General features: G+C 34.3%; 1 protein-coding gene across 8 annotated transcripts in view; it reads right to left on the bottom strand.

The window, feature by feature from the left end:
* GLS (glutaminase) overlaps positions 1–15,716 on the bottom strand; it is an 84,732-nt gene that overhangs the window by 33,506 nt on the left and 35,510 nt on the right. For 6 of the 8 annotated variants that reach the window (NM_014905.5, NM_001437282.1, NM_001437283.1 and 3 more), the window contains 7 exons: positions 10,991–11,023; positions 10,844–10,902; positions 8,064–8,130; positions 7,454–7,504; positions 4,565–4,741; positions 1,479–1,610; positions 410–502 (listed from right to left, as the gene is read on the bottom strand). In NM_014905.5, coding sequence (NP_055720.3) covers positions 410–502; positions 1,479–1,610; positions 4,565–4,741; positions 7,454–7,504; positions 8,064–8,130; positions 10,844–10,902; positions 10,991–11,023 — 612 coding nt within the window. Of the gene's footprint in view, positions 1–409; positions 503–1,478; positions 1,611–4,564; positions 4,742–7,453; positions 7,505–8,063; positions 8,131–10,843; positions 10,903–10,990; positions 11,024–11,798; positions 11,833–15,716 lie in introns of those variants that run through there. The other 2 variants (XM_047443958.1, XR_007072653.1) reach the window with 2 other exon arrangements.

The raw sequence follows: 15,716 nt of genomic DNA, 5'->3' as shown, positions 1-15,716 counted from the left end.
TAAACTTCAATTTAGGACGAACAAATATTAAAACGATGCTTTCTTTATAGCATGCAGCACATTCCAATGTTTTGTTTTGTTCTTTTTTTAACAGAATCAATTCTAAAAATCTTGCTTAAAATAGCAGAAAATGGAAGGGGAAATCCCTGACACTAGGCTAACTAGTTTCAATTTAAATAACAAAACAGCAATATTTAAATATCTGTATCTATTAACTATCTATTAAACAATCTTTAAGTATTTAATACTGGTGATCCCGGATTTATATGTCAACAATTTGTTTACACTCATTTATGATTAGCAAAGACCCGAGGCCACTAACAAACTAAGATTTTATTTATACAGGCAAATCTCACTTTTTCTCTTCTTAAAAATTTTATATACTTATCTAAATAAGAATTTTGCTTACCCTTTGATCACCACCTTCTCTTCGAGGATCAAGTTTTTTTGCAAAGTGTCTCAAATTATCATAGTTATGGAAATTACACAGAGAAACAAGATCCTGTAAACAGTTATACAGAGCAGGTATAAGAAATTGGCTATTCATTGGTTATATATATCCATATTTTAACAAACTCTGCTTATATCGTCCAGCCTAGAAATCATCACTACATGCTAATAAAGTAGTATAATGCATCAAGAAGAGAACTAAAATCAGAGTAAGATATGGATATAAGTTTTAAGAACACTGCTTACTAACATGATCCTAGGGCTCAGCCAATCAAATCATCTTTCATCTTCTACAAAATAGGGTTTATAACCGGCCCCATGAAAGAATTCTTCTATCAAATAAGTGTAAAGCCACATTAAAATATAAATAAGTACTCTGGTTACAATCTACTATATTTTATATGCACTCCAAGGTCATACTCTAGTTTTTGTAAAATATAAAAGACTGGAAAATAAAACAATTTTAATTGAGTATGGTACTTAATATGAACTCAAGCAAGTAATCAATGTAACTAAAACTAGAAGCTCAAACATTAGCAGGAACTGGGTAACAACAAAATACAGAACTATCAAGAGCAGTAACAGTTTAAAAATGGTTTAATCTTTTTTTAATTTTCAGTGCTTATTTCCTCAAAAAAATGTTTAAAGGTAGTCAATGGATAAAGATATTTAACCATGCAGATTAAAGATATAATAAACCAAAATAATTCTTAAGATATACTGGCTTTTAAATTACTTCTCCAAGTTTAATACCTTTTGTTGAGCTTTTGAAAATTCATACTAATTATAACCATGAAAATTAAAATATTAGCATCTAACAAATATAATCTGTGGGAATAATTAAATGGGAGCTGTCTGACAGAGACAACTTGAAGCTCCTCTGGGAGTATTTCCACGGCTCCCTAGTAACTGGCACACTATAGGCGGAGGGCCAAGAGTTAATGAACTATGGAAAATGGGTTAAAAAAAAGAATCATTGGATGGCTCAACTTGTAACACCATTATTTACATTAAGAAAATATGCTTACGTGACAAAAGTGAATTCCCTTAACACTGTTGCCCATCTTATCCAGAGGAGGAGACCAGCACATCATACCCATAACATTGGGGACAACTAAAAGAATGCCCCCAGCAACTCCAGATTTTGCAGGAAGACCAACCTAAAAATAATTCAGTAAAAGAGTATTCAGGTAAACATTTTAAAATAAGAAATGTTATGTTCAACAATAGGGAAACTGGGGCTGGGCACCATGGCTCACTCCTGTAATCTCAGCACTTTGGGAGGCCAAGGCAAGCAGATCACTTGAGCCCAGGAGTTGGAGGCTAGGCTGGGTAACACAGGGAGATCTCGTCTCTACAAAAAACAGTGAGACATGGAAGTGCACACCAGTAGTCACAGCTACTCTGGAGGATGATGTGGGAGGATTACATGACCTCAGGAGGTCAAGGCTACAGTGAGCCATGATCGCACCACTGCACTCCAGCCTGGATGACAGAGCAAGATCCAGTTTCAAAAAAAAAAAAAACACAATTGGGAAATTGGTTTAAAAATTAAAAATTATCTCCTGACCTTGTGATCCGCCCGCCTCAGCCTCCCAAAGTGCACGCCTGTAGTCCCAACTACTCGGGAGGCTGAGGCAGGAGAAAGGTGAACCCGGGAGGCAGAGATTGCAATGAGCTGAGATCATGCCACTGCACTCCAGCCTGGGCAACAGAGTGAGACTCCCTCTCGAAAAAAAAAATATATATATATACATACCATAGAATTTCAACATTAAAAATATTGTAGATAAATTTTTATCAACATGTTTATAAATAAAGTTATAAGGCCGGGTGCGGTGGCTCATGCCTGTAATCCCAGCACTCTGGGAGGCCGAGGTGGGCAGATCACCTGAGGTCAGGAGTTCAAGACCACCCTGGGCAACATGGCAAAACTCCGTCTCCACAAAAAATACAAAACTTAGCCGCGTGTGGTGGCAGGCACCTGTAATCCCAGCTACTCGGGAGGCTGCGGCAGGAGAATCGCTTGAACCTGGGAGGCAGAGGTTGCAGTGAGCCAAGATCGCACCACTGCACTCCAGCCTGGGTGACGAAGCAAGACTCCATCTCAAAAAAAAAAAAATTATGAAACAGTTTGGGATAGATATGAATATAGAAAAATTGTTTAAAGATACATTCTAAGGAATTATAGCAGTTACATCTAAATTGTGAGGCTATGGATGCTTTTATTCTTCCTGACTATATTTTCTAATTGTTCTAAGATAAACGTATTGTTTTTAAATATAACAAATTATTTTTTAAAAATATTTTACAACTAGAAAACAATAAAAAGTTATATATTCTTAAAAGATTTTCTAAAATGGTAATTTAAATTACTCCTCCTCAAAAAATTTAAGTTACATTAGCAAAACTTGACAAATGATAAAAAAAAAAATTAATGTCATTAGAGCAGTGTTCATTAATTGCTTACTAACATTCAGTCAGTCAGTACCTCTGGATAGGAGAATTGCTAGAACCCAGGCGATGGAGGTTGCAGTGAGCCGAGATCACGCCACTGCACTCCAGCCTGGGCGACACAGTGAGACTCTGTCTCAAAATAAATAAATAAATAAACAAACAAAAATAAAAGAAGTATACCAATAAAGTACTTTTACACAAAACTAAACAAAACAAGCAGACCAAAAAAAAAAAAAAAAAAAAAAAACACACCTGAATTGGATCTACAAATTTATAGGAAATACAAGGGACAATGGAACAGAGGTAATCAGCAATGTAGAGACAGTGGAAAACTGTATAGACTAAATTACCCAGTTTTTCCAACCAAAAATAACAAGAAAAAAAGAGAGACAGGTCAAAAGAAGACCAATAGATTTAAAAAAAAAAAAAAAGGAGACAAAACCCAATCATAATGTATGCACCTCATCTGTATCCTAAGTCAAACAAACTATAAAATAATATAATAGGCCAGGTGCAATGGCTCACACCTGTAATCCCAGCAATTTGGGAGGCTGAGGCAGGTGCATTATTTGAGGTCAGGAGTTCGAGAACAGCCTGGCCAACATGGCAAAACCCCATCTCTACTAAAAATACAAAAATTAGCCAGGTGCAGTGGCAGGCGCCTGTAATCCCAGCTACTCGGGAGGCTGAGGCAGGAGAATCGCTGGAACTCAGGAGGCAGAGGTTGCAGTGAGCCAAGATCGTGCCACTGCACTCCAGTCTGGGCAACAAAGTGAAACTCCGTCTCAAAAAAAAAAAAAAAGAAATAATAATTTACAAGATAATCCAGGAAATCTAAACACTAACTAAATATTTTGATATTCAATTTAATATTGATATTAATAATGATATTAAAGTTTTGATATGTAATATTTAATTTTTATATGTAAAAACTGTATTATTGTTATGTTTTGTTAAGGATCCTTATTTAGAATTACATACTGAAATATGACAAGGATAGGGGAAACAGATGCACATACAGATGAAACAAGATTAGTAATGTATTCATAATTAATGAAGCTGAGTGATGGATAACATTAAATGTATCTCTCTCTCTCTCTCGTTTTACATGTTTGAAAATTTCCAAAATAAAAAAAGCTTTTAGAAGGGCATTATGACTTGACATGAGCAGAATGAAATAAAAAAAGTCTATATACTTTACAAGTGGCAAATGCACAACAGAGCTTAAAGCAGTACATTTTTGTTAAGTTTTAACTTTAATACACTTTTAGTCCTTAAAACAGCTATGGCCGTAACCAAAGATGTGAAACGTCACATCTTTGCAATCTTTCTGAACTTAGAGAATTCTTAAGATACATAATCATAATGCTAAACATTAAAAACAAAAAGTAAAGAAAGACTGTACTAACCTTGTACACTGGATTGCCTTAAAAGCAGAAGGGATGAGGTTCTATAAATCAAACTTCCAAGTTCTTAAGAACATCTGGTAGACCTTATCTCTATTCCTTACTAATCTTGTAACAAATTAACCTTGAAAACAAGCCTCTCTCTCAAAAATTAATATACAGCTTTAGAAGCAAAGTTCAAACTGCATTTTTAAAAGAACCAGTTCAGACTAGTTTCTTGCCAGAGAAAATAAGATTAAACAATTACTTACATGGAAAGCAAACTGCCCTGAGAAGTCATACATGCCACAGGAATGCATCAAACTCAATGTATTTCGAACTGCTTCAGGGCTCAGTACTCTTTCACCAGTAATTGGGCAGAAACCACCATTAGCCAGTGTCGCAGCCATCACACTGGCTGATTCACAAGTCACTTCAATGGAGCACAGCTAACACAAAGAAAAAGCAGAATTCTCATACTACTTTTAATATTACTGTTCACTTTTAAGATAATCTATTTTATTTGGTATTTCATACAGATCTGAAATATTTCTTCCAAAGAGATTACTTTAATATAAACTTGAGGACATTCTGAAGATTTTAGTTGACCGAAGTCCTACCCACTTTTAAGATTTACCCTGATTTGGCCAAAGATACTCAGTCTTTTAATGGCAGAACTAGACTAGGAAGTGCCAGCCTCTAAACACTAAGATTTGTTATTATCCCATGTGATATTCAAATTTGCTTAAATATTAATACTTTCTGTGGAATACACAAGCATAATTACTTTTAACTCAACAGAAAAAAAAAGAGCCATGAAATATTTTTAAGATAAAGCACCATACATGAAGATTATGATAGTGTCTACATGAGAAATCACCATTTTAGAAAAAAATGCTACAGTGCCTGACATTTCACCCATAACAAAGTTCGGCATCCCCATCTATATGGTAACAGGCAAAGGAAAAAGGGGAAGAAAAATATAAAGCAGATCTGTCTCAGATGCTCTGTAAGCCTAAACCAAAATGTTATCCTTTAGACCATTTATTAATATTTATTTGATATTTACTATGGGTGCTAAGAATACCCTCTAGGATAAAATTTTTGCATTTAAATACAATCAAAATAATGAAAATAGTTCACCGTACCAAACCCAAATTTACCCATAAAATGAAAATAAATTTTTCCACATTTTATTTTTAGCTAATAGTAAGCAAAATTGGGATGAGACGGGGTCAAAAAATAAAGTGGATAGGAGAAGAATGAGTTCAACTTATAAATTTTCCTCAGCCATACTCCAAGATCTACAAGAGGCACAAAGGGGTTTGGAAATAGCAAGGAGGAAAACTAAGTACAGTGAATTAGAACATTGTGTGTTTAACTTTGACTACATTGCCTATTTATATAAAAAATCTCTTCCCTATTTCTCAAAAACGACAGAATCGACTTGCAATACTGCCCCAGATAGCAAAGATTTGTGATAAGGTCGACTTAATCATGCAAGGCTTTCTGAATTCCAATGATCATTTCCTAATTTATACTTAACATTAATTGGAATTTTGTTTGTCATAAGGCAGCACATTCTTAATTTGCCAAATGCCAACTCGGGTACTCTCCTGCTAATCTCAATGGCCGTTCAATTTGATGCAGCCCTTCTCCAAAAAAGTCAGTACCACTTCTATGGCTGTTTCTTGATTTTTGCAATGAAGTATAGAAATGTCACATTACAGTAGATTCTATAACAGCCAAATTTAAATATGTATTCCAAAGGAAAAGAAACTTACGGAAAAAATTCATACAGACCAGGGGGAAAAAAAAGGCTAGTTTCAAAGGAATTTCACATATCATCTCATGTTATCTTCCACATAATATGGCAAGGCAGGTGACGCATATACTACACATAAGGAAACTAGGGATCAGTAACTAAAATTAGGTCACATGGCTAATAAGTGGCCAGGCTAGACCTTAAATTTTATATTGATGGTCTGGATTCCCAATTTACGGTTTTTCACATTGGGCCGATGAAAAGCTGCAACCTGGACATCTATCAAAATCTAACTCATTATCAACCTCCCTTATATATTCTCTAAGATTACTGAAAGGTTAAAATTAAGGAACCTTTAATAGTAAAGACAGGCAAATGTAAGGTGAACTAGAAATTAACAATAATGTAGCCTCCTATGTGGCTTCACATTACAGCCCCATCAGTGGCACCAACTGTGTTAAATCTGTAAGAATAAATTGAGCTGAAAATGTGGGTGAAAGAAGAGATCTCCAGGAAGGCTATTCTAAATTGAGTTCTATACCATAGCCCATTGTGCGTAACACGGTCCCTCTCGCTCAACCCCACCCCCTCAATATTGAGAGCTACTCTAACTTACAAGAAAGCCCGACATATGACACTGCAGAAATGAACTAGCACCAGTTAAGCCAGGATAGAGTAGTAACAAAGAAATTACAAGATACCAAGTCAGCTGAGACACTGACACTTTTAAATGCTGAATAAGAGCCCTCTGATTTAAAAAATAAAAAAATAAAAAATAAAGCTTTTCCCAAACAAAATGTAAAAGCTACGAAAAATTTAGAGCCCAGTTTATAATTAAGAGTGCCAATTTCTGGGAGTGTTCATTATTTTTGACAATTCTTAAATATGTTTACAGAAAAAATTGTCCCCATTACATTTTGAGGCATGAATTTTTAGGCAACATGCATGGACATGAGACTGCCTTTTATGAAGACATTTTTGAAAGTCAATGGAAAATGTATTTTCTCATGGCCTAGAACCAAGATTTCTGAGACATCTATATTTTGCATAATGTGACACATCCATTTATTTATTTTGAGACGGAGTCTCACTGTGTCGCCAGGCTGGAATGCAGTGGCGTGATCTCGGCTCACTGCAACCTCGGCCTTCCAGGTTCAAGGGATTCTCCTGCCTCAGCCTCACAAGTAACTGGGACTACAGGCACACACTACCACACCCGAATAATTTTTGTATTTTTAGTAGAGATGGGGTTTCACCATGTTGGCCAGGATGACCTCTATCTCTTGACCTCATGATCCACCTGCCCTGGCCTCCCAAAGTGCTGGGATTACAGGCGTGAGCCACCGTGCCCAGCCGACACATCCATTTATATATACGATTTACATAATTAGATTACCTGGAAGTAGAAGTCTAATATACCAACCATGTCTGTGCCTTCTGGAAAACACTAAAAAAACCAGAAAGGCAATTAAAAATTCAGGCACACAGGAATGCACATAAGTAGAGAAATATATGAAAAATTTCAAATGTACACAAGTGTTTCATTTTAATTAATAAAATAGCATGTAACTTCTAAAAGAGTATAAACATGAAATAAAAAAGCAAAATTTTATCACATCATGTAAGTTTCTAGATACTAGTTTAACTGACAATGATAAAATGATTCATGATTTATAAATCAAGTTACTAGACCAGCCACTTAAAAAAATCAAGAGTAGTTAACAGTAATCAGGCATCATGCTTTTGAAAAAATAGACTAAACCTCAAACAAAATTTGTATTAATAAATAATATGAGTCAAATATTTAAATGCTGCCAGATACAAATCAAATTAACAATAACATTAACAATTTGATAACACTGACTCACGAGCACTCTGCAAAAACTTCTGCACCTTAAATAGTAATAGGTAGTTGCTTAAAGGCTATTGTTGAATTCTTAGCATACATCTTCATGTATTTTATTAAATGAAAGAATAATTTGAAATAGAAACAAAAATTTAAAAACCTTCTTTTCTTTTAAGTAATATCCTATTGCAAAATTTCGATCTCCACTTTCTCTTTCAGACTGAAACCTGGAAGAAGAAAAAAAAACATTTGCTCTATGTACTTTCTTTAAAAGTGTGATTGTTCATAATTTCATTTGCATAGCAATGTACAGCATAAAGAACACTGAACTAAGATTCAGGACTACAGAGTTCCAATCAATTCTGTCAATAGGCTATTTGTGTGACTTTGGACAAGTCATTTAAGTGGTAATTCTTTCAATCTTCATTTTCTTGGCTATAAAATGACTGAAACGAATTCAGGTCCTTTCTAGTCTTCATATTTTGTAAACAAAAATGCTAATTTTAAAATTCTCAAATCTTCTACCATTAAAATACACTGAAAAACTGCAGAATCCTCTGGCTACCCAAAAGTACAATAAGAGTCCATTTTAATTGACATAATCAGGGAACTTGACATAATCATGGAACTTTCACTGAGAGTGGGAAACACAAAATGGATCTTGCAGGACTCAATGGACTAATAGATTTCAGGGTGAGGCCTAGGCACTGGCAAATTCCATGCATCATGAACGGGTTAGAAAAGTATATAGACAGGGCTCCACTGAAGAATGGCAAATATTCTGATGTAACTGGGGAATGGCACATGGAGAGGAGTGGGAAAACATCAAACAAACAAAGGAGACTGGGACCAAATTATCAAAACCAATAGATGCCAAATAATTAATAGCTCCTGACTACCCACAAAACAAAAGCCTGAGGGCTTACAAAGAAGTTACCTAATCAGATCTGCATTTTGGAAAGATAACTCTGACATCAGTTTGAAAAAGGGGAAAAAGAAGTGATGACTGATCTATTAAGAGAATACTGTAATGAGAGCTACAAAAGCCTGAATTTAGGCAGCTGTGATAGGAATGGAAGGAGAGGTATGATCAAATATGCAAGTAGTTGGATAATCTTCCAACCTGATGAGAAAAAGGAGAGGCAGAGTAAAGACTGATACAAAGCCTGAATTTCTAACATAGCCTGAGAGGATAATAATATTAACTGATACAGGGATCTATCTCTAGAGCAAAGAGCAGTTTGGAAAGAAAGAGAATGAGTTTTGATTTAGACAGATTTAATTTGCGGTATATTTGAGAATTGCCCTACAAGTCTAAAAGGGCTGCTGATATTAGAGGAACTGTGGTTAATGTTCTTTATATCACTGAGGTGGACAGCCCCTTCTAATTGCACATTTTAACATTTCAAATTCTTATCAATTTGCCGTACTTTTAAAAAAAACATCAACATAGTTTAGATAAATGACTAACTAGTCAGCAGTTATCACAGTGACTGACACATAGTTCTTCAACACTATCTCAAGTGCCTATTATCTGCCAGATAACAGGGATACAGAAATGAACTGGAAGACACAACATTCCATCTAGGTCTTAAGGAGGGCAGAGTCTAATGGTGGTTATGGGGCAAAGAGAGACATGTAATAAGTTTGATAAAATATGGTAACAGAAGAGCACAGAAAAGAGGCAAGTTGAGATTCATGGAATACTTCCTGGAAAAGATACTTAAGCTGATGAATTAATGTTGGGAAGCCATGCAACCTGAAAATGTTTACCCCTGAAATGCGAAGCAGGAAGTGCAAAATAAGAATAAAATAGTAGTATACATGCTAAAACTGTTTAACATAATAATATTACGATAACGTTTAACATTATAGTGTTTCTAATGACAAGGAACCAGACAAATACAAAATGGGAAACATCCACTATACGGCCTGCTGCCTGTTTTTATAAAGTTTTTTATAACACACCCTCATATTGTCTATGGCTGTTTTCTACTAAACAGCAGAACTGAGAAGTTACAACACAGACCGTATGGTACACAAGCTTAAAATATTTACTGTCTGGTCCTTCAAAGAAAAAGTCAGCAACCCCTGGTCTATAAAACAAGCAGCCTGCACTCTTTAAAAATAAAAGCCATTTAATAAAATTTGTGAAAGCAAGGGCACGGGGACTGTTCTAAGTAAAGAGACAAAACAGACATCGTAATAAATACAATGTAAGAACCTTGATTTGTTCCTGAATCTAAAAAATAATAATAAAAGTTGTAAAAGACATTTGGGGAAGAGATGGGGACATTTACATATTGATTAATGTCATGATATTTTAAAATTAACGTTAACGTTCTTACATGTGTTAATGGTATTGTGGTTATGTAGGAGAATGTCCTTATTCTTAGACTGTATGTGCTTTCTTATCTAAGGGTGAAGTATGATGCCTGCAACTTAATTTGAAATGGTTTAGGGAAAAAAAATCTATGTACATATATATTTACATATTTGTGTTTAGAGGTATACATACATATTTTTTATCTATCTAAAGAGACAGAGATTGAGAAAAAGCAAGTAAGACAAAATATTAGAAAATATAAGTAAAAGATTCCAGATATTTATTTTTTCAACTTTTCTATAGACTCACAAATTTTAAAATAAAAAATTGGGGTAAAAATCCAGATAGCCTGGAACAGAAATAGAAGAGAGGTAAGACAGGTATTACAAGCAAAGATAAAACTGAATAAGCACCAGTAATTTGAGATAAACTTGGGGTCTCTTCTGATTGTATGATTACCTGTAAGAAATTTGTCAAAACTATTTAAAGTATTTTTAAGTGTTTCTGTCAGGTAATTTAGAAATCATTCATTTCCCTCCAATGAAAAGAGAGTGGATCAATTCTAAATACAGTTGTGTGTTTTTACGTAACAAAACAGTATTTAAAACACTCACGTTGCATTACTGAATCCAACATATTCATTACCAGCCATCTTATTCAAAAACTGCATGACCTAGAAACCAAAAGTAGGGAATATTAGTAATCAAAAAACAAATATATAGAGAATGTGGCATGAAAACTGAATGACATGTTGCACTTACATAGTCAAATTTTTCAGCATTATTTACTCCTTGCTGCAAAAAAATAAGAGACATAAATACGTTAATATAGGTACCACTACAGTTAAGTTTCAAGCCAATATCAAAATTTCAAAGCTACTATTATAATATACTGCATTAGTATTTTTAAATCTAGGAAATAGTTCTAAAGTAATTTAACATTTATATAAACTTTTTTTCATGTTATTTAATACCCATATGTTGAGAATGCATTAGAATTACAAAGGGAATGCTTTATTTTAAGTATATCTTTACCCAACCCAAAGTTACAGAATTTTAAATACAAGTTACCATGAATTCCCTTATCTTTCATGACAGCACATAATTTGCTAAAATGTGTTATTTATTTAATCTTATATTTAAAAAAACTTAAAATAAAGTTTCACCCTTCGAAAAGAATTAAGTATATATAAAATATTTCAATTAAGAACAATCTACTTATATTTTATTAAATCCTTAAACTAATATCAGAGTTAGAAAAATGAATTATGTTGCAAAACTAATCTTTTAATTCCAGTATATGCAAACATTCTGGTTGCATTTTACTACTGCAGAGAAAGCTCTATTCTTAATAGCTCTCACTTGCTATAATATACTTGAACTAAAAAAAATTATATTTCACAGTCTCTAAAAAATTAGCTTCTGTTGTATTTAGCATTATGCCAATTCAGAATATGGAAGATGTATTGTTTCATCACTTTCATTTCTGACATGTTATCTACTGCAAATGTCAATAGGAAAAATCTATGTAATGTAGATCAGTTCAAGTAGCCAAATGGTTTCATTTTACCTCGGCGAAGTTTACAAAGCAGTAAGTTGTAGATCTGAAATCAAACGTATTAATTGGTGATATGCACCCAAAAGAAACAATACATCTCTAATTTCTAAAATAGGCTTAAAATAAAATAATTTGACAACTAAAGTTTTTAAAACATATTTTCTTTTACTTTACCCTCAAAAAACCCAAAACATTGTACTTTAAAATATTATGGGAGGAAAACCTGTACCAGAGAATTATTTAATTGAATAAAGCCAGGTTCATTCTTTACAAGAGGATTAGAGTGTGGCTGACAATATGTGAAAACCTACAAATCCACTTTTTTAAGAAAGATGTGCAATCACATATATACAATCAGTAGCTGGAAGGAACACCATACTATTTCATCAAAATTAGGCACTAACAAAACTTCAACAAGATTAAGGATAATTTAATTACAGCCATATTGTAATCACTATCTATGTATTTTCTCTAAAGTATCCTTTGACATAATTTTTTCTTTCCTTATAATATACCAGAAATCAAAATGTAGAAATGTAACTCCAAAGCTGTTCAATGAAAAATAATTAAAAGAAGAAATTACCAACTTCATTGAACTGTTGCAGTTGTCAAAATATTCCATAGATCCTAATGCTGTAAAATATGTAACAACATTTAAACCACAAAAACCTTTGTAACCTTAGAAAAAGCACAAAAAAACAACTCTTTTGGAAATGGATGTCAGCATTTGCATTGGGATGTCATATGGATAATTACTGGTTAAACAATCAATGTAAAATAAACAAGTTATGTTGAACTTCATTCTGTGACCTAAACTGTACCCTATAAAACTCTTACAAGTTTTCTTCATTGGGCTGTCATGTTTAATACACAAAAATAAAAACCATTCAACTCTAGACTATGGTCACATAATTGGTCTATTTTGTGACTTACTAAATTAAAGCACAATTAAGTTTTGCTCTTAACGTTGTTTTTAAGAAACAACTGGTATTTACCAATGTCTAGCATTATACAGTATAACATTTTGGGTACTCAACATTCTCTAGACAGATTATGTAAATAGAGCAAAAGAAAATACAGGCACACCTCATTTTATTGAGCTTCACTTCATTGTGTTTCACAGATAGTGCATTTTTTAAGAAATTGAAGGTTTGTGATAACCCTGCATCAAGTAAGTCTACTGGCACCATTTTTCCAACAGTATGTGCTCATTTTGTGTCTCTGTGTCACATTTTGATAATTATTAGATGTCTTATGGGGATCTGTGATCAGTCATTTTTGCTCTATTACACTTGTTTTGGGGTACCACAAGCCATGTCCATATAAGATGGCCAACTTAACCTATAAATGTTGTATATGTTCTGACTGCTTCACTGATTGTTCATTCCCATCTCTCTCCCTCTCCTTGGGGACCCCTATTCCCTGAGACACAACAATATTGAAAACAGGCCAATTAATAACCCTACTATGGCCTCTAAATGTTCAAGTGAAAGGAAGAGTTGTATATCTCTCACTTTTAAAAAGCTAGAATGATTATTAAGCTTAGTAAGAAAGGCATGTTGAAAGCCAAAACAGACCAAAAGTTGAGCCTCTTGCACCAAAGTTAGCCAAGTTGTAAATGAAGTTTCCTTTGCATTTCTTGAAGTTCTTGAAGGAAATTAAAAATGGAACTTCAATGAACACGCAAATGATGGAAAACAAAACAGCATAACCGGTAACATGGAGAAAATTTGTGTGGTCTAGATAAAAAAAAAATGAAACTAGCTACAATTTCCCTTAGGCCAAGGCCTAATTCAGAACAAGGCCCTAACTCTCTTCAATTCTATAAAGGCTGAGGGAATTGAGGAAGCTGCGGAAAAGGGTTTGCAGCTAGCAGAGGTTGATTCATGAGGTTTAAGGAAAGAAGCCGTCTCCATAACATAAAAGTACAAGGTGAAACAATGGCAAGGGCTGATGCAGAAGGTGCAGCAAGTTACCCAGAAGATCTACCTAACTTCAGTGATGAAGGTGACTACACTAACAACAGGTTTTAAATGTAGATGAAACAGCCTTTTATTGAAAGATGACATCTATGACTTTCATAGCCAAAAGAAGTTAATGTCTGGTTTCAGAGGACAGCCTGACCTGTTAGGGGCTAAGGCAGCTTGTAACCTTAAGTTGAAGCCAATGCTCATTCATCATTCCAAAAACCCTAGAGTCCTTAAGAATTATGCTAAATCTACCCTGCCTGGGCTTATAACAAGCCTAGATAAGACCACATCGGTTTACAACCTTGTTTATTGAATATTTTAAGCCCACTGTTGAAACCTACGGCTCAAAAAGATTTTGTTTTTTAATAGAGATGGGAGTCTCACTATATTGAGCAGACTGGTTTGAACTCCTGGGCTCAAGCAATCCTCTTACCTCAACCTCCCAAAGTGCTGAGATTACAGGTGTGAGCCACCATGACCAGCCAGAAAAAAAAAAAATATTTCTTTCAAAATACTACTGTTCACTAACAACACACCAGTCACCCAAGAGTTCTGATAGAGACGTACAAGGAGCATAATGTTGTTTTCATGCCTGCTAACACAACATCCATTCTGCAGCCCATGGATCAAGGAGTAACTTCAACTTTCAAGTCTTACTATTTAAGAAACACAGTTCATAAGGCAATAGCTGCAATAATAGTGATTTGTCTAATGGATCTGGGCAAAGTAAACTGAAAATCTTCTGGAAAAGATTCACCATTCTAAATATCATTAAGAACTTTCATGATCATAGGTGGTCGAAATATCAATATTAACAGGAGTTCAAATGAAGTTGATTCCAATCCTCATGGATGACTGAGGGGTCCAAGTGGAGGAAGTAACCACACATGTGATGGAAATATCAAGAGAACTAGAATTAAAAGTAGAGCCTGAAGATATGACTGAATTGCTGCAATCTCATGATAAAACTTCAACGGATGAGGAGTTGCTTCTCATGAGTGAACTAAGAAAGTGGTTTCTTGAGATGAAAACTACTTCTGGTAAAGATGCTCTGAAGATCATTGAAATACAACAAAGGAGTTAGAACATTCCATAAACTTAGTTCATAAAGCAGTGGCAGAGTTTTGGAGGACTGACTCCAATTTTTAAAGAAGTTCTACTCTGAGTAAAATGCTGTCAAACAGCATTGCATGCTACAGAGAAATCTTTCATAAAAGTAAGAGTCAATTGATGTGGCAACTTCATTGTCGTCTTATTTTAAGAAATTGCCACAGCCACCGCAATCTTCAGCAACCACCACCATTATCAGTCAGTAGTCATCAACATCAAGACAAGACCTTCCACCAGCAAAAAGATTAGAACTCACTGAAGGCTCCGATGATCCTTAGCATTTCTTACCTATAAAATATTTTTTAATTAAGGTATTCACACTGTTTTTTTTTAGATGCAATACTACTGCACACTTACTATAGTATAAACACAACTTCCGTATGCATTGGTTAACGAAAAAATTGGTATGACTTGCTTTTTTGCAATCTTCACTTTAGTTAGGTGATCTGCAATATCTCTGAGGTATGCCTGTATTGAATAATTGCATTGACTAAAGAATGTTTCTCCCCCATACTTCCTCATTTAAATGTAAAGGCATTTGATTATTGTTTGTTCATATTATTTACCCTGGAAATGGCATTTAACTTAAGTCAATAAACTATATCTGCTTGTGTATCTCTTGGAACGACTCCATGTACCCCAAGGATAGATGAGATCTAATAATCATTAACATGTCATATTAATTCTGAAAAAGTTACAGTAAAAAGTTTATTTGCAAAGCTCTTAGGAAAAGCACATGCCTACATATACAAAAGAGAGTAAACCACCCCCAATGCAAAATCAAAACTAAAAATGATAAAAAATCCATTATCTTTATCATTATGGAGTAGTGGGGTGAGCTGGGTGGAGA

The sequence above is a fragment of the Homo sapiens genome, chromosome 2 (assembly GCF_000001405.40).
Source record: "Homo sapiens chromosome 2, GRCh38.p14 Primary Assembly".
NCBI classification, from domain to species: Eukaryota; Metazoa; Chordata; class Mammalia; order Primates; family Hominidae; genus Homo; species Homo sapiens.
This window is presented reverse-complemented; position numbering and strand designations above follow the sequence as displayed.